The 20,575-nt window shown below is 34.3% G+C and overlaps 1 protein-coding gene across 17 annotated transcripts in view; it reads right to left on the reverse strand.

The window, feature by feature from the left end:
* The window catches only part of SENP7 (SUMO specific peptidase 7), a 189,008-nt gene that overhangs the window by 12,135 nt on the left and 156,298 nt on the right, over positions 1 to 20,575 (reverse strand). For 14 of the 17 annotated variants that reach the window (NM_001282803.2, XM_017006926.2, NM_001282802.2 and 11 more), the window contains 6 exons: positions 15,279 to 15,312; positions 11,533 to 11,712; positions 7,347 to 7,615; positions 5,307 to 5,440; positions 3,756 to 3,872; positions 1,170 to 1,292 (listed from right to left, as the gene is read on the reverse strand). In NM_001282803.2, coding sequence (NP_001269732.1) covers positions 1,170 to 1,292; positions 3,756 to 3,872; positions 5,307 to 5,440; positions 7,347 to 7,615; positions 11,533 to 11,712; positions 15,279 to 15,312 — 857 coding nt within the window. Of the gene's footprint in view, positions 1 to 1,169; positions 1,293 to 3,755; positions 3,873 to 5,306; positions 5,441 to 7,346; positions 7,616 to 11,532; positions 11,713 to 13,324; positions 13,924 to 15,278; positions 15,313 to 20,575 lie in introns of those variants that run through there. The other 3 variants (XR_007095714.1, XR_007095713.1, XM_011513045.4) reach the window with 2 other exon arrangements.

Consider the following 20,575-nt stretch of genomic DNA (forward strand, 5'->3'; position numbering starts at 1 on the left):
TGTTTATTACTCCTGTTATTTTAACGAGATGAAACAAACTCTCATAGCCATTTTTTAAAGCAATCTAGTACAATAAAAACTTTGGACTAGAAGTTAAAAGGTAAAGATTTAAGTACCAACTAGTTCTGCCACTCACTAGCTGTTCATCTTAAGTAAAATTTATTAATCTTCATTAGACTGCTTCCTCATATGAAAAATTGGGATACAGTTTATATGCCCTATCAAAAGGTACTGTCATGATAGGAAAAACTGAAATAATGTCAATAAATGGAGTTGTAAATTGTAAAGCAGTAGAGAAATGTTTACACTAACTTTTAAAATAACAATAACTCAGCTTTATCATGAGTCTACTCAGATAGATTATCATACAAATTGTTAAGTATGGGGAAAGGGGAGAAATGCCTCATGTTGCAACAACTATCCAAGTTTCTACTGTCTAAGAAATACCTCCTTTTTGCCTATCCCTAGCCACTGCTCCACAGTTTTAGTATTAACCAAAAAAATACTTGGGCAAAAATCAGCTAAATTGTGCAAACAAATAGGGTATTTCGTATAATGTAGCATAGGTTTAATTAAATAGTCTGTCATTGGGGATCCAACCAGGAAAACAAAAACAGCCCTATATAACAGATAGAATTCAATGCAGGAAATTGGCTATAGCATTGACAAAAAAAGAAAAACAAAAAAACACAAAGCCAAAAACGGGGACAGTGAGACAGCAAAGATTAGCAGAGGAGGAAACTGCTATACCTGTAGGGTAGAGGGCAAAGAGAGGAAGCAGTACCTCCAGATGAAAGCTGGAGTTATAGCAGGTCTGTCCTGTGAGAGGTGGACTCACAGAGGAAATACAGCCACTGTCAGAATCATTTCCCAATGCAAAGAGAGTAGGGAAGAAATAACCTAGCTTCTTTCTTCCTTGCCCTCCAACTTCCAGGATTTCCCCCAGGGACATGCAATTGGAAATGCAGACTGCAAGTGTCAGCCTCCCTGTCATGGGCAGCAAAACAGTGGAAGGATGAGAAATGGCTCTCATGGCAAACAGACCCAGGACCTGAACAAATGGTAGTACTGCCTACTTGAGGAAATACTATAAAGAAGCCACTTTACTAGGAGCATCAAAAATAGTACATTTTCTCTTAAAACTTAAGTACATTAGAGGATTAACTTACGAAAGATTTGGATTATCTTCTGTTAAATTATTTTCCTTTCTTGTCAAGCATTTATAGAAAAAGCTACTAAAAATGTGACTTCGTTCAACAAGTTCATCTGATGCCTTCTCCAATATAAGATACCTGTAAAGTAGTAACCCCACAAAAGTAAATTATTTTTAGATTTTACTTGGTCGTCCCCCAGTTGTCTTATGTGTTCTGGAAATCTTTATTTTTTATCTATTTTGATTCAAAGCAATCTTGCAGTTTCCTCTGATTTCAGCTTTCAGTTTGGTTAGTTACCTAGCCTTCCATCATGTAAAGCAGAAATTACCCACTTATTCATTCATTTACTTAACAAATATTTATCAAATTCCTAACATGTGGCCAGGCACGGTGGCTCACGCCTGTAATCCAAGCACTTTGGGAGGCCGAGGCGGGCAGATCACGAGGTCAAGAGATCGAGACCATTCTGACCAACATGGTGAAACCCCGTCTCTACTAAAAATACAAAAATTAGCTGGGTGTGGTGGTGTGCACCTGTGGTCCCAGCTACTCAGAGGGCTGAGGCAGGAGAATCACTTGAACCCGAGAGGCAGAGGTTGTAGTGAGCTGAGATCACATCACTGCACTGTAGCCTGGGTGACACAGCGAGACTCTGTCTCAAAAAAAAAAAAAAAAATTAAAAAACTTTTAAAAATTCCTAACATGTGCCAAACACCATGTTTACACTAGAGACACAAAACAAGAGGGGAAAAATAAAGTACCTGCCCCTGTAGAGCCTATAATCCAGAGGAGTGAGGGTAGAAAATATTAATCAAATAATCATATACTCAAATATAAAAGTGAAATTGTGACACTGCTAAACAAATCTAGAAAAATGTTAATAACTGTGTGATATGATTCATCTCTAAATTCTTAGTCCATTTCTGTACTAAAACAATCCTTCCATATAAGCTTATAATCCAATCACTTAGTAATTAACCCCTTCATGATTAGAAAACTCTGCTATTCTTTATAGTTTATGCAGGCTTGAAAATGTGTGATTGTTTTTTAAAAATGGAGTAGCTAGAGTTTGCAGATCAGAATACTGGAAAGGAAAGAGCTATACAGAGAACTCCAGACAGCTGCAAAGTCCTCTTCAAGTATTCAGGAGAGTATTAAACACCGAATGTATGTGAGGAAAGTACCCAGGGATAGGGAAAGAACTACCCAAAAAGATCAGAGAGAATGATACCAAGTGCTCACAGAGACCAAGAATGGTGCCTGTTCCTATCAGCCAAATTGGAAACTTCGTAATTCCTGAGACATTGGGTAGAATACTCAAAAAGGTCTTTCCTCAGTAGTAAGATTAAGTTATTGGCCTCATCTAACAAATCTTAAAGGCATCAAACATTTTCCAAATAATTTTACTGTGTCCCAAAACAAAATTCAAGCATATTTATAAATACAAAAATATCCAGCACCCAATCAAAAAATTACCAGACATGCAAAAGTGCAAAGAAATGACTCATAATGAAGAGAAAAATCAGTCAATTGAACCCAGAACTGACAGAGTTGTTAGAATTAGCAGAAAATAATATTAAAACAATTATAACTGTATTCCATATGTTCAAAAAGAAACATGGAAGATATAAAAAAGACCCACATTTAATTCCTAGAGATTAAATCTACAGTGTCTGTAAATATAATGTGAGACTTTGACCTGAGTTACTGGGATAAAGATTACTAGTATTATTAGTAAAACAATAGAGCTTAGGTAAGATTATAATAAATTTGGTTTGGGAGAGATGTGTAAAATAATTAGGAGATATCTCCATCAACTGTTGGGAATCTAGGTCTAGAGATACAGTACAAAATGACGGCTAGAAGCAAATTTCCTTTGCATAAAGTTTTAAATGTTTTCATACCAATTCCTGCAGCTCTGGCTATACAAAAAGTTGGGGGAGAAATTAAGTGATATGGATTCTTAAAATGATAGTTAACTCTTAGGGAGGCCAAGGAGGGCAGATCACCTGAGGTCAGGAGTTCAAGACCAGCCTGGCCAACATGAAACCCCATCTCTACTAAAAGTACAAAAATTAGCCGGGCGTGGTGGCGGGCGCCTGTAATCCCAGCTACTCAGGAGGCTGAGGCAGGAAAATAGCTTGAACCCAGGAGGCAGAGGTTGCAGTGAGCCGAGATTGTGCCACTGGACTCCAGCCTGGGTGACAAGAGTGAGACTCCATCTCAAACAAAAAAAAAAAGATACAACAGATATCTCAATAGAGCTGCTGTTTTTTAGTTCCCAAAATGATTTGTAATTTGTAAGTAACTTCTTTCACCACCATAATACAATAGTTAAAGAAATTTACATCAAAAACTAACAAAAGCTAAAAAAGCAAAAAAGCAGCAACTCTTCTTAACTATATAGCATCCACAGTAAGTAAAGCAATGAAACTGAATAAGTCAATTCTAGAAAACCTTGGTAAGCAAAAATTTTCCAAATCTGAAATCTTGGCAGGCTACTTTTAACAGAATTTAAAATAATTCAGAGATAAAGACATTTATTTTAAGTTTCTCAGTAAAATCTGTAAAATATGTAGGATCATTTATCATTGTACTTACTTAAGGTAAAAATCAATGATTACATCATTAAGAAACTCTCCTTCTTCTAAACACTCCAGATCTTCATTAGTTACTCCTAATCCCCCCTTAGTAGGTGGTGGAGGATATACAATCAACCTTAAAAGTAAAAATAAAGTTAACATATACTGATATTGAAAATCCTATTATCTAAGAGATTTCTTATATGAAACAATAACTGGGCAGTGGTATTCTGTAACTCAAATCTGTAGGGTAAAAAACATTTGACCAGGCATAAATAATGATATTTTCCTTCCTTTATCCTCACAAGCTACTAATGGTACTCCGATTGAGTATTATCTTTTCTTTTCCAATACTTCCCATGTGGGCTAGTCTTAATAGGCTACTATCTGAATTAGTCTCTAATCAATAGGTTTTATCTCACAATCAGTTATACCATTGAAGATGTTGCTCTTCTTCATAATTTTTAACTTTGAATAAACTGATGTAATAAAATATAGCTTTTCCTTTCTCCGCTTTCTAAGTTTGAATCCTCAAGACTAGTTCCCTTCCTTTCAGAAAAGCCAGCAGTCAAAAATTGTGCTCTGCTCCTGGTGGCTAATCTATACCAGCAGCTGGACAAAAAAGAAATAACATGGGAGCTTAGGAGGCAAGTCTCCCCATAAAAAGTGCCTGCCACATAAAACTTAAGAGACCACAAAGGAGACATATAATTTAATCACAACCAGAAAGTAGTAGAGAAGAGATGACAACTAATTAGTCATCCTCCTGCTGGCATTCTCTCTTAAAGCTTAGAAATAAGACCAGTTGTGAATTCCGGGCTATAATCTTGGAATAGGTAGAGCAGTACTCAATGAAAAATGTAGTCAGTAATGAAGGTATAATATGTACTTCTTGCGCCAGAAAGGTTCAGTATGGTAAGAGTCATCCACATTGATTTAATCTTAGTATCATGGCACCTAAATCAAAAAAGAAAACTGTAAATTTAAAGTGCTAATATGATAGTTTCTACCTTATTGGCTATTTTCCTATCCTAGTCTTTCAAGTGTCTTTTTTCAAAACAAAGAAATAGAATCACATGGAGGTACAGAAATCACCATTAAATGCACAGACTCCATATTCTTCCTTAGCACCATGAGAAGACATGGATGAAATATGAACAAAGAAGCAATTTCTGAAAGAGAACTTGTAACAAACTCCAAAGTACCTTAAATTGAAGCATATTTCAGTAAGCAATTTCATTTTCCCTATCATATGTTCAGATAAGGAATGTAGAATTTTTAAAATCATACATTGCTACTCAAATGTTTTTAATAAACACTTTAATCTTACCAAATATGACACTTTGTCTGCCATTTATGTCTTACTGACATAAAAGTAAAATGGCACCTATTGTTTTCTTAATAAATTTTTTAACTTCCTCATAATTTCTTTAAAAAAACCTATTTCCATTACTATCAGCATGAAAGTAAAACTTAAAACATTTCAAAAGTTAAACTACTGAAAAGCAGCAACATGAATAAAAACTACTAATATGCCCATCTACTACAAACATGCTATGACAGTACATACTTCTGAACAAGTCCAGTGTGCCTGACTTCTCGCCATTCTTCATCTGGATTAGATGTAATAGAAAGGGAGTAGCAACCGCTACTTTGCTTCTGCAGGAAGGTGTAAGTAGGCTTGGCCGCATCTGTGTTTGAGGGCTGACAGAAAGTGGCAAGAAAAAGGGTCTCAAACATCATAACTTTCAAAAGAACAAAGTCAAAACGTAGACGTGTGAGAGAAAATGTGACTTTAAAAATCCCTATGAATTATATCTATACTTTTAGATTTTCCATAGATATAACCAAACCAAAATAATACTGGTGATGAAAAGATATTGTATAAACAATGGTCAAAGATTAACTTGAAGTACTATTTGCAGATATGGACTACAGAATTAAAGAAGAATATAACAATTTTGCAGTTCAAAATAATCAAAAAATGTAATAAATAGGAGGAAATAAAATTTAAAATTAAGAGGCTACATTTATAATAATGTAATTCCACTAAATGGAAAATATATAAACAATATAATTAGGATGCAAAATATTGACAACATTATACATAAAGAAAGATAGAGATGAAGTCTTATACTTTATCTAACACTAATGTGGCTTTCTATAGGCCTTTTGAATAAAAGATTAGCCTCTGGCCAAACCCGTGTATGTGCATGCATGTGCACAGGTGTATATATGAGTATGCCATAGCTTCTTAATAAATTCTTTTCTTTCTAGAACTATTTGGCAGAGATATACAAGCTACATGTATATTACCAACCTCCTATAAAAATAAACATAGCATTTTAAAACTTACTATTGTTTTCAAGATAATTTTAGACTTACAAAAGAGTTGAAAGAAATCAACCTTGCCCAAATTCCCCTAATCTTATCATACACAACCATAATACAATGACCAAAACTAAAAAATTAACATTGGCCTAATAGTATTAACTAAGCTACAGACTTCATTTTGATTTCACTTTTCCATTAATATCCTTTTTCTGTTACAGGATCCTACAATTCCTTAGTCTTTCCTTGTTTTTCATGACCTTAGTACCTTTTTTTTTTTTTAGACAGTCTCACTCTGTAGCCAGGCTGGAGTGCAGTGGCACAATCTCGATCACTGCAATCTCCACCTCCCGGGTTCAAGCGATTCTCCTGCCTCAGCCGCCTGAGTAACTGGGATTACAGGAATGCGCCACCACACCCAGCTAATTTTTGTATTTTTAGTAGAGACAGGATTTCACCATGTTGGCCAAGATGGTCTCAATGTCTTGACCTCTCGTGATCCACCTGCCTCGGCCTCCCAAAGTGCTGGGATTACAGGTGTAAGCCACTGCGTCCGGCCAACCTTGATACTTCTAAAGAGTACTGGTCAATTATTTTGTAACAGGACTTGTCTCATTTTTCTCATAATTATATTGAGATTACATATTACTGGAAAGAACACCACAGAAGTGATGTGGTACTTCTCAGTGCATGATACGAAGGGGTGTGTTATGTCAACATGTCTTATTACTGGTGATGTTCATTTTGATAACTTGGTTAAAGTGATGTCTACAAGGTTTCTCCACTGCAAAGTTACCACTTTTCTTTTTGTAAATAATACATATTTTATGCTAGAGACTTTGAGATTATGCATATATTTTGTTTCTACTTAAATTTTTACTCATTAAATTTAGCATCTGTTGGTGGACTTTGCAATACTCATAAACATAGTGTTCTACTTGTGGTTTTGTATTTCTCTTATTCCTTTTCATTTATTAATTGGATTTTTTTCTAAGATATAATTGTCCCTTATCCACCATGTATTATTTATTCATTCATTTACTCAGTTATCTATTTATATAAATATAGACTAATATTTATTTTTTATTTGGTTATAATCCCATGCTGTCATTATTGATTTTGTTTAACAAATTGTTCCAGCATTGGCAACGGGAGTTCTTTTGGGTTGGTTCCTATGCCCTTTTCACAAAATGTAGCATTTGAAAGCAGCCTAATATCAATGAATAAATGTTTTCTGAACCTCCCCCTTCTCTGCCAATTATATTAATGATATGCTAACCTGAGATACTGATTTCAGCTTCATTTCTTCAGCAACAGCAACACCAGCAGGGAAAGAACAAGTTGAAACACAGTAATAATGAATAAAAGAACTTTCTTTTGAAGAGAGGTTCTGAAACAAAGGAAATGCCTGAACCCAAGACAACGGGTAAGAAAGCTCTAATTCTCCACTGATTATACTTATTTCCGTCATAATATCTTTCAGCTTCAATTCTTCTCTTTGTGAAACAGGATTGTGTAGTTCAAGGAAAATGAATTCACTAGATTTTGCTACAAAAGGAAAAAATAATTTGTATCAATAGTATTATTTTTCAAGAGGATTATAATACAAGTAATTTAATTATTAATAATAGTAAGGTTGGAATATAACCCCAAGTATTTTGTATTTTAGGTAATAACCAAGGCAAATTAATATCCCAAAAGTAGGCCATTAGTAATCCAGAACCAAAACTCACAATTGGTGGACTCCTGTTCTACTGCACTAAAATGTCATAATAGTACTGATTGCTATATCTGCAGTGCCTGACATTTAGTAATAAACATTTGTTAATGAATGTATGAATGAATAATTAATAATTATTTTTCTCTAGCCTCCTTTATGAATCAACTCTATCAACTAGAAACATATTCCAATTAAACACCTCCTACATTTTCTCCTCAGTCATTTCAATGGTGATCTGAAGACATTCTCTTCCCACAGAATGCTTATAAATGGCTGTTTCTATTTTCCCCACCTTCTCTGCTATTTAATCATGAATTTTCCTAGTAGAAGTAATTAGGACAGGAAAATAACAAATTTGAAAGTTATAAAATTTAGTTCACTACTTAACATCTTTACTGTGCAGGAGAGTAGGAAAAAGGTAGAGGGATCAAACAGGTAAGAAAGAACCTTACTAAATTTGATTGATGTAGTTCTAAACCCAACTCCTTCAGGAGCTGGAGACTAAACAAAGCTGAAAAATATCTCAAGATGTATATTATATAGATAAGTGTTATAGGTGCATATGGGAAAGTATTCAACCGAATCTTAAAGGAATAATATATAAGTAAACTGAATTTCACTTTTTAGAAACTAAAGACTGAAGGCAAAGACTTCTATATTTTATTTAACTTTGCTGCAAATTCTGTCAGAGTTTGTCATGACCAAGGGCAAGAAACTCATAAGAAAGGTAGTTGGCCAGGCATGGTGGCTCACACTTGTAACACTAAAACTTTGGGAGGCCAAGGCAGGAGGATAGCTTGAAGCCAGGTGCTTGAGACCAGCCTGAGGAACATATCGAGAGCCCATCTCTAGAAAAAAAGAAAGCAAAAAAAAAAAAAAAAAAAAAAAAAAGGAGAAGAAAGAATTTGGGCTTATTCTGGGTTCTCTATTCTGTTTCATTGGTCTATTTGCCTATTTTTATACCAGTACCATACTGTTTTGGTGACTATGGCCTTATAGTTTGAAATCAGGTAATATGATGACTCCAGATTTGTTCTTTTTGCTTAGTCTTGCTTTGGCTATGTGAGCTCTTTTTTGGTTCCATATGAATTTTAGGATTGTTTTTTCTAGTTCTATGAAGTATGATGGTGGTATTTTGATGGGAATTGCATTGAATTTGTAGATTGCTTTTGGCAGTATGGTCATTTGCACAATATTGATTCTACCCATCCATGAGCATGGGATGTGTTTCCATTTGTTTGTGTTGTCTATGATTTCTTTCAGCAGTGTTTTGTAGTTTTCCTTGTAGAGGTTAGCTATATTCCTCCTTGGCTAGCTATATTCCTCCTTGGCTAGCTATATTCCTAAGTATTTTATTTTTATTTTTTGCAGCTGTTGTAAAAGGGGTTGAGTTCTTGATTTGATTCTCAATTTGGTCGCTGTTGGTGTATAGCAGAGCTACTGATTTGTGTACATTAATTTTGTATCCTGAAACAGTGACAGTTTGACTTCCCCTTTACAGATTTGGATTGTCCAACAAAGCAAACACAAACAAAGTGGGGAAAGGACACCTTATTCAACAAATGGTGCTGGGTAAATGGCAAGCCACATGTAGGAGAATGAAACTGGAGCCTCATCTCTCACCTTATACAAAAATCAACTCAAAATGGATCAAAGACTTAAATCTATGACATGGAACTATAAAAATTCTAGAAGATAACATTGGAAAAACCCTTCTAGACATTGGCTTAGGCAAAGATTTCATGACCAAGAACCCAAAAGCGAATGCAACCAAAACAACAATAAATAGGTGGGACTTAATTAAACTAAAGAGCTTTTGCATGGCAAAAAGAACAGTCAGCAGAGTAAATAGACAACCCACAGAGTGGGAAAAAAATGTTCACAATCTATGCATCCAACAAAGGACTAATATTCAGAATCTACAAGGAACTCAAACATTAATTAGCAAGAAAAAAACAAACCCATCAAAAAGTGGGCTAAGGACATGAATAGACAATTCTCAAAAGAAGATACACAAATGACCAATAAACATGAAAAAATGCTCAACATCACTAATAATCAGAGAAATGAAAACCACAATGCGATACCACCTTACTCCCACAAGAATGGTCATTATCAAAGAATGAAAAAATAATAGAAGTTGGTGTGGATACAGTGAAAAGGGAACACTTCTACACTGCTGGTGGGAATGTAAACTAGTACACCCACTATGGAAGAGTGTGGAGATTCCTTAAAGAACTAAAAGTAGAACTACCATTTGATCCAGCAATCCCACTACTGGGTATCTACCCAGAGGAAAGGAAGTCAATATACAAAAAAGATACTTGCACACACGTTTATAGCAGCACAATTCACAATTCCAAAAATGTGGAAGCAGCCCAAATGCCCATCAATCAATGAGTGGATAAAGAAACTGTGGTACATATATATGATGGAATACTACTCAGCCATAAAAAGGAATGAATTAATGGCATTCACAGCAACCTGGATAGGATTAGAGACTATTATTCTAAGTGAAGTAACTCAGGAATGGAAAACCAATCAGCCCATGTTCTCAGTTATAAGTGGGAGCTAAGCTATGAGGATGCAAAGGCATAAAAATGATACAATAGACTTTGGGGGCTCAGGGGGAAAGGGTAGGAAGGGGGTGAGGGATAAAAGACTATAAATTGGGTTCAGTGTATACTGCTCGGGTTATGGGTGCACTAATATCTCACAAATTACCACTAAAGAACTTATGTAATCAAATACCACCGGTTTCCCAAAAACCCATGGAAATAAAAAAAAAATTTAATAAAAGATTTCAATCTGTTTAAAAAAAGGAGGAGGAGGGAGGAGGAAAGGAGGAGGAGGAAGGAGGGAGGAAGGAGGAAGAAAGAGGAGGAAGGAGGAGGAAGAAAATGGAAGAAGGAAGAAAAAAGGAAGAAAGAAGAAAGAAGGATAGAAATTGCCAGGTATGGTGCTGCACCCCTGTAGTCCCAGCTACTTGGGAGGCTGAGGTGGGAGGATCACATGAGCCCAGGAGTTTGAGGTTGTGGGAAGCTATGAACATGCCACTGTACTGTAGCCCAGGCAACAGAGTAAGATTCTGTCTCAAACAAAAAGAAAAAAAGGAAGGAAAGTAGTCAAACATGGCAAATGACTAAAAGATAAGGCATTCTTTTTTTAAGAACTTAAAATTTTCAAGGTAAACATTTAAGATTTTTTAAGCTATTCTTTTTATTTTAGATGAGAATTTCAATTGGTTGAATACAACTATAAGGAGAAATTATGTGAATTAAATAATCTATCCTAAAATTAAGAAACAAAATTAGGGCCAGGCGCAGTGGCTCACGCCTGTAATCCCAGCACTTTGGGAGGCTGAGGCGGGCGGATCACAAGGTCAGGAGATCGAGACCATCCTGGCTAACACGATGAAACCCCGTCTCTACTAAAAATACAAAAAATTAGCCGGGCACGGTGGCGGGCACCTGTAGTCCCAGCTACTCAGGAGGCTGAGGCAGGAGAATGGCGTGAACCCGGGAGGCAGAGCTTGCGGTGAGCAGAGATAGTGCCACTGCACTCCAGCCTGGGTGACAAAGCGAGACTCCATCTCAAAAAAAAAAAAAAAAAGAAACAAAATTATTTTCACTAAATAAAATTAATTTCAATTCACTGAAATAACATTCTATTAAATTATTTTAGGAAAAAACTATTTATGACAATTTCAAGTTATCCTGAAATTTAGAAATCATTTTATACTCACATTGCTGGCTTAATACAGAGTGTTCTAATTGGGTCTGAATCTCTTGAAGATAATCTGAAGAGACCCAGAAGAAAAGAATAGCATGACTCCTTTTACTGTGATTATCATCCTTACTTTTCCATAACCCAAACCGCTTTAAATGTGTGGTATCCACTAGCAATGAAATCTCATTCAGGGACACTGAAACAAATAAAAGACAACAATTTAAAAAATTAATCCATTTAAGAATACACCACTTAAACATTATATGACACTTGTTAATACACTACTTTTTTTAAAAAAAAGAGAATTATATAGTTTTTTCAAAAATATATTTCCAGTGCACTTTGCTAACCTTAGCTAAAATGCCCCCAGCAGTATTATTAGAGTAAAAATAAATCACATTACAATTAGGAAGGGCTAAATAATTATTAAATGACAATTAAATAGAGATTGAATCTCTCACATTATATGATTTCAGTTATAACCAGAGAGGGAAAATTTGAGATTAAATATTCATAGCATAAAAACTCTGTCTGGAGAGAATTCTCTCCAGGAATTCTGATAATCGTTAGCAAAAAGGAAAAAAATGTCTATCAGTGCAGAAAACTAAGCACAGTATAACTCAGAAAATGATATATTTCCACCTTTTCTATATTGGTCAATACTATATAAACCAAGATCACAAGTGCTATCATAGGCCAATTCCTGCCCATCTTTCTTCTCCTAAGGCATTTGCATTCCGCTATACAGATAAGCCACTATCAAAAGAGTCTCAAGAAAATTAGGAGGTTCTGAATGGTCTAAGGAGACATTTCTTTTAAAATTCCTCCAGGTTTTATTTCTCAAAACTTCTAGATGATCATTCTAAATTATTGGTCTTTCTCCCTCTTAGGGAGCTAAAGGAATCTCCTCTGAGGACTTTTACTCTTTAATTCAAAGAAACATTAAAAAAAAAAAAACTGATTTAAAGAAGTCCTGAAGGTCACTTAGTTCAACTGCAAGACAGCAAGCAACTGAACTGGAATACAAATATCAGTCAAGCGTAAACCCAAGATGGGCACCTATTTGAAACACACCTCTTAGTATTCCTCCCAGCATTATTTCCTAGAACTTTGTTACTCAAAGTATAGTCTAAGCTGAGCTTGTGACATTAGTATCAGCAACATCTGGAAGACTGTTAGAAATGCAGAGTATCAGGCCCCACCTTACATCTACTGAACCAGCAGATCTCAGTTTAATAGCCCACTCCAACCCCGTGATTCACATGAACATTAAAATATGAAAATCTTTCCATGATGAGTATTTACCAGTCATCTTAATGTTCCCAAGCCAGTCATTCTATTCTTCATACTGTAACTCTTCCATTCTGAAAACTGTCAGTAAAAACTGGCAGCAAAGCTTAAATCAAAACCAGAATGAGAGCCCTCAGAATGCTACTCAGCATTTCTTTCTCATGAAGCTCACAGCCCCATAGGTACATTTGATCCTATTTCTGTGAAATCTACACAACTACTACTAATCTAATTGTTCTTGGTGTTTAGAATGAAAGCTAAATTTTCTTTAGGAAGACAACTTTAAAAGATTATCTTTTTCCTGTGTCCATGTGTTCTCATTGTTCAATTCCCACCTATGAGTGAGAACATGTGGTGTTTGGTTTTTTGTCCTTGCAATAGTTTGCTGAGAATGATGGTTTCCGGGGAGGGATAGCATTAGGAGATATACCTAATGCTAAATGACGAGTTAATGGGTGCAGCATACCAACATGGCACATGTATACATATGTAACAGACCTGCACGTTGTGCACATGTACCCTAAAACTTAAAGTATAATAATAATAATTTAAAAAAAGATTATCTTTTTAAAAAAAGGGAATTTAACACCATCATGAGAAAAATTTATACCTCATTACCAAGTCTGCCCCCAATATATGGTTTATTCTGTTACAGGTGTATAGCAGATACTAAAAGTGGGAGTTGCCTACCCACTTATCCATTTCTTCTTCTTCCTCAGTAACAGAACCCTAATTTTACTGAGGGAAGCAAGATACACAGTTTTGAAAACTCTATTTCCTAGCTTCCTTTACAAACGGGTGTGTGGGCTTGACTAGCTAGCTAATAAAATGTAAGCAGAAAAGGTTATGTCGCATGGACATCCAAGAAGGCTCCTTAAAAGGGCAAGAGATTGGTAGCATGTGCTCTGTTTACGGTTTCCCCTTCCTACTGCTTTCTGTCTAAAATATCAATATGATGATGGAGTCTGAGCTACAATAATGGCCATGAGATAAACTTGAGGATGCAAGTCATACGTCAGGAATGACAGAATAGAAAAATGCAACTCATGTGTCAGGGTCATGTGCCCCCGATGACCAAGGAAACATCACATCAGTTCAGATTACTTCTGGATTTCTTCTATGTGAAAGAAAAATAAAATATTTTCTTTATGCATTGTTACTAACAGCCAAACATAATTAATACCTAATATAAATACGGATAAATCAATTTTTCCCCAGCTGCACAGAAAAAGTGGAAACATTTAGACCCTCAGGTTCCCACCTACAAAAACCTTTATATGCATGCTTTGTTTTAAAAAGATTTATGGGAACTTGGACAGGACTTGAGGAAGAAGACTAATATTTTCTTCTTTCATTATAAAATTATAAACCTATTATCACTGAAGAGAGTATTTTTCCACAATCTGTAATAAAATTTCTTTTAAAAATTATATGCAATAGAAAAGTTATAAAATAAGAAAGCAATATTATAAATATTAACTGTGAAAATCTAAAATATCGTTTTTGATGTTTGTATCGCAAGAATTTGAGAGGCAGCTCTGTTACCCAGGTCTTTAACTATAAACTGTAGTGCTATCTTTTCTGAAATTATCATCCCCTTTTAAAATCACATGACTTTTTTTGTTTCTTCTACAGAACAAATATTATTCCTTAATAATTTATTAATATTTCCTATTTAGGACTATCAATATACTTATTCTGTGCCCTTTATATTCTTAATACTTAATTAAGATACAGTAAGCAATCAAATTATTAGAACAATTATCATAACATAGTTTTGGATTCTGTACATAAAGTATCTGTGGAATCCAACTAAATCCAACTAATCCAACTAAAGCTACTTTGATAGCATCTCCAATCTTGGAACAGAAGCCTCTTCTTCTCTAATTCCTATCTATGCCATTTGTGTGTTTTTCTTCCTTGTTCTTTTTAGAATTCATTATATAAATAGATTATCCTCTATTGTATATTGGTTTTCTTAGTGTCATAATTTATTCTGAAAGGTTTTCAGTTGGGAAGAGAATGAGAAAATGGTGTGAGTCTCTATAAGTTACAGGTACATTTTCCAGTCTACTTTCCCTTACTAAGATATGCAATTGTATAACATTCTCTTACCCTCTATGCAAAAACATTTTACATGTTTGTGTGCAATATTAAACATTTTCCTTATGCTTCTTTTCTTATAGTTACTATTGTTATCCATTTTTATATATACCAAAATATTGTTGCTATCTATCAGAACTGTGTTTCTGTTAATCCTAAGAAATCACCATGAATCCTTTAACACTGTTTGATTTATAGTCATTAAAACAATAGCATACGATTTTCAGAACAAGTCCATTATAAAACATTTTTACTCCATTTGGAATTGCTAAAAAATATTAAGGTGAAACATTATTAAACTTAGTTTTACTTAAATTTATACTAAAAACTATAGTAAAAAGACAAGTTCATAAGAGAATGATAACTTACCTTGAAATGGGATCTTAATATATTTTTTTGTGATCTGAAGAAAAAATTAAAAAGCAAACAATGAGTTACCACTCAAAATGTGTTACTATTCAAATTTTTTTTTTCAAATCACAAGTACATATTCAAAGTCTACATTATAAGTGCTCAAGCCTTTTTATCAATAAACCAATAAAATATTTCACTACAAAGACTTAGTTTTATGGAAATTTTAAGAACCCCATGTAAGTAATTTAATTCTCAATATGCTCATTTACAAAAACCAGTAAGACTAATAAATATATTTTTCAAAAATGTTTTCTGAAAATGTAAAGACTAAGACAAAGCCCAGAAGAAACTGCCAAGAGACCTCTAAGTAGCAGTGACTCTGGTAAATATAAATAGTCCATAAAACAGAGTTTCATTTTTGGCTTTGCTGACTCAGCAGCTGACGATGATTCCCTTGGTGATGAACTCACACTAACCAAACTCACAAGAAACTGCTAAACAAACCAAAATGCCAACATACTATTTTATAATGAGAAATTAAAATTGTCAGAAGGCTTGTGTCCAACCTGATGTGAATATTCTGTTTCTGTACAAAAACTACCAATTATAATTTTAAAATTTGCTTTTACCACATAAAAGCAGAACTAAAAAATTCAGTTGTTTAATGTGAAATGGCTACAAAAGTCATAGATTCAACTTCATTCACAGCAGTGATGCACCTGTCAAAATGGTAATATAAATTAAGTCCCTAAGCCAGAACAACCTCTTCCCTGGATGACTTTTAGGTGGGCACCACCGTCTTCATTCCTAGCATTCATCTTTCTTTGTTTCATGTTATAAATTCCCTTCCAACTGAGGTTCTTGCTCTTTCTGCTCCTTCTGTCCCAGGACACTTATTTTCTCTAGGTACCTTTTGTATATATCTGACTTCCTTAAGAGCTGCTTTTATAATAGGGTTGTGGAGCACCTAGCTAAATCTTACATGTACTATCTAAAGCAGACTTCTGCTTTGAAGTTTGTGTTTCCATTAATATCAAATGAATTTGTACCTATTTATTTATTACTTGGTTAAGTTTTGTTGTTGTTGTTCAATACATTTTGTTGATCAAATCGGGTATGGTCTGTGAGCACAAAACGAAATCAAAATGTTCTTGGTATGTGAGCTCCATTTAAGTATCAAACAATGTTCAGTGAAACCACAGGTTTATTTTGACTCCACTTATTTTCCAATTTAAAAATTATTTCATCTTGTACTTTCACAAATATAAAACCCTATATTCCATAGAGTAAGTGAGCCATGAAAACCAAATGTGAGGCAATAGATCATAATTAACTAAAAGCTGAGCTTGGAGTTAAAATCCTGCCTCTACTGTCTCTACCACTTACACAAGTAGTAAGTAGGTAAACTTAGGTAACTTATTGAACTTTTTCCAGCTTTAGTAAGATCCTTAATCAAGGAAGTTGTTATCATTAGACACTAGCATCTGATCAAGAATGTTACATAATTTAATCAAATATCTAATTATTGTTACTTTCATATAACTGCCACCATATTTAATGTATACTGCCCCTTTCCAAACTCTTTCTGGCATGTTTCACAGGGTCTTTAATCCTATAAAATATATCTTGGCAAACGTAAATCATTAGTACTAAAAAATAAACAGAAGCGGTGTTTGCCTTTCAGAATTTGCACAGCCATAACTTCCAAATTATAAAGTAGAAGTAGTGCATCTGCATGTCCCCACCCACTACTTACTACACTATTCTCTCACTTTCCCCCATCAAATGCTCGGGAGCTATCAAATGTTTCTACTTGGCAAGGATCTGATATTCATTTATCCCTCTGAATAATGACTAAGCCAATAGGTTACCTCTCCAGAGTTAAAACCCTACTCCCAGCAGACTTAACCCCTAGATTTAAAAATAAGAAAAATTTTGTGGCAGTAAGGTAAACCTAGTTCTCTGAAATCATACCAACTTTGTTTAAACTTAAGAATAAAGCTAATAATAAGAGCTATTTTATAATTTCTTACAATAGCTAATAGTTATCTGAATATAGTATTACTTAATTTCTCGTACTATCAACAAAGACTTTTAAGAAAGACAATGTTTACATTTATTGCAGCATTTGCTACACTAAAAAAATAACCAGTGTCTAACTATAGGAACATGGCTCTAATTTATGTAATAATTTCCAGCTATAAGTATTTTTCTAATTCAGCTAAATTGTAACTACTGTGAGAGTCAGAACAGTATCTCCAGTGTCTACAATAATGCTTAACACATAGTAGGTAGTCACTGAATATATGGAGAATAAATTAATTTAATTCTCTAATATCTTTACCCACCAAAAAAGAAAAAAAAGTTCTTTAATTTCTGTTACAGTGCATCCTGAACTGTCTGAAAAAGAATATACCTAAAAACCTGAAAAACCTGAAATTTTTACCCTTTTCCCTTTTTTAGGTTATTCATTATACTTAAAATTTTTTTTAATTGCTTATATTCTCTCCATCATAACTGTCCTAATTTTTGTAGGATTCTTCTCAGCCTTTGTTCACATGCATATATTTACTTTGAATTGCTAAATCACTTTCCTATAATTAAACATTTAAGTTTTTAATCTAATTATATGAAATGTTCCAGCAAACATAAATAAAATTTGTTACCTTTTATTTTAGGTTCAGGGGTACATGTACAGGTCTGCTATACATGTAAACCTGTGTCACAGGGGTTTGTTGTACAGATTGTTTTGAAACCCAGGTATTAAGCCTAGTACTCGATAGTTATTTTTTCTGCTCTTCTCCCTCCTCCCACCTTCAAGTAGGCTCCAGAGTCTGTTACTCCCTTCTTTGTGTCCATGAGTTTTCATCATTTAGCTCCCACTTATAACTGAGAATATGCGGTATTTGGTTATCTGTTCCTATGTTAGTTTGCTAAGGATAATAGCCTCCAGCTCTATCCACATTCCCGCAAAAGACATGATCTTATTCTTTTCCTAGCTGCATAGTACTCCCACTACATGTTCTTTATCCAATCTGTCATTGTTGGGCACTTAGGTTGATTCCATATGTTTCCTATTATGAATAGTGCTGCAATTCACATGTATATGTCTTTATGGTAGAATGACTTATATTTGTCTGGGTATAATACCAGTAATGGGATTGCTGGGTTGAATGGTAATTCTGTTTTTAGCTCTTTGAGGGATCGCCACATTACTTTCCACAATGATTGAACTAATTTGCATCCCCCAACAAGTGTGTCCCTTTTTTCTGCAACCTCGTCAGCATGTTGTTGACCTTTTAACAATAGCCATTCTGACTGGTATGAGATGGTATCTCACTGTGGTTTTGATTTGGATTTCTCTAATGATCAGTGATATTGAGCTTTTTTACCATATGCTTCTTGGCCACATGTATGTCTTTGGAAAAGTGTCTGCTCATGTCCCTTGTCCACTTTTTCATAGGGTTGTTTTTTTCCTGTAAATTTAAGTTCCTTATAGATGCTAGATATTAGACCTTTGTCAGATGCCTACTTTGCAAATATTTCCTCCCATTCTGTAGGTTGTCTGTTTACTCTGCTGATAGTTTCTTTTGCTGTGCAGAAGTTCTTTAGTTTAACTAGATCCATTTGTCAATTTTTGTTTTTGTTGTGATTTTGACATCCTCGTCATGAAATCTTTGCCTGTGCCTATATTCAGAATGATACTGCCTAGGTTGTCTTCCAGGGTTTTTATAGTTTTGGGTTTCACATTTAAGTCTCTAATCCATCTTGAGTTGATTTTTGTGTATGGTATAAGGAAGGGGTCCAGCTTCAGTCTTCTGCATATGGCTAGCCAGTTATCTTAGCACCGTTTATTGAATAGTGAGTGCTTTCCCCATTGCTTGTTTTTGTCTGCTTTGTCAAAGATCAGATGGTCATAGGTGTGCAGCTTTATTTCCAGGCTCTATATTCTGTTTCATTGACCTATGTGTCTGTTTTTGTACCAGTACCATACTGTTTTGGTTACTATAGCTCTATAGCACAGTTTGAAGCTGGGTAACATGATGCCTCCAGCTTTGTTCCTTTTGCTTAGGATTGCCTTGGCAATCAGGCCTCTTTTTTTTGGCTCCATATGAATTTTAAAATACTTTTTCATATTTCTGTGAATATCATTGATAATTTGATAGGAATAGCACTGAATCTATAAACTGCTTTGCGCAAGATGGCCATTTTAATTCTATTGATTCTTCCTATCCATGAACATGGAATGTTTTTCCATTTGTTTGTGTCATACTGATTTCTTGGAGCAGTGTTTTGCAGTTTTCATTGTAGAGATCTTTCACCTCCCTGGTTAGCTGTATTCATAGGTATTTTATTCATTTTGTGGCAATTGTGAGTGGGATTGCATTCCTGATTTGGCTCTTGGCTTTGTTGCTGTTGGTGTATATGAGTGCTAGTGATTTTTTTTTAATGTACTGCATTTTATTACATAAAAGTACAATTAGTAAAATAATATAGTAATTTATTTGAATATACTTTTAACTATAATTAATCATTCCTTCCTCTCACTATAATGTTGAAAAGTATTACTCTGAACACCTACCTTATACGTTACTTAATGTAAGTTAACTACAAAGAGCCTCTCCACTTACATTTTCATCATGCATCTCACATTTTAATCTCCTTATTCATTTATAGAAAAGGTCATAAATAATGCCCAACTAATAAAAAAGAATTTCTAATATCTCTGATGCAGCAACAATTGATCATATGCTTTCCCATGTGAATACAATAGGAATAAAATAACAGCATAAAGTAATTTGAAAGCTGTATTACATCATTATTCACTTTTCAAAAAAATTTTTTCAAGGAAACAAGTACATTTTCAATGTAATTACAATACTTCAAAAAATCTACTCCCTTTAAAGTTATATACAAATAATTTAACAACTTTAGTTGTAGATTAGTTTTTATACTCAACACTCTGATTTCGTGTAATGTCTGAAGTGTCAGTACCTTATTCTACTGTAAATTCTTTGATATTTACATAGAATCAATTTTGAATTAAATATTTTTTCATATTTACTGCATCGGCAAAAATATATTTTCATATAAACTCTGGTGTTTTCTAAGCAGTAATTTTTGAAAAAAAAAAGTGTTTCCAAATTCATTACATTTGCAGGACTCTTCTCCAATATAAATTCCCTGATGCTGAAAAAAGCTTGAGCAATTGCTTGAGGGTTTTCCTCTAGTACAAAATGTGTGCAATAAGATCTGTGATACAAGTAAAGGTACTACAACCCCCTTTATATTTGTAACGGTTGTCTTCAGAA

Source organism: Homo sapiens, chromosome 3 (genome assembly GCF_000001405.40).
Source record: "Homo sapiens chromosome 3, GRCh38.p14 Primary Assembly".
Lineage (NCBI taxonomy): Eukaryota > Metazoa > Chordata > Mammalia > Primates > Hominidae > Homo > Homo sapiens.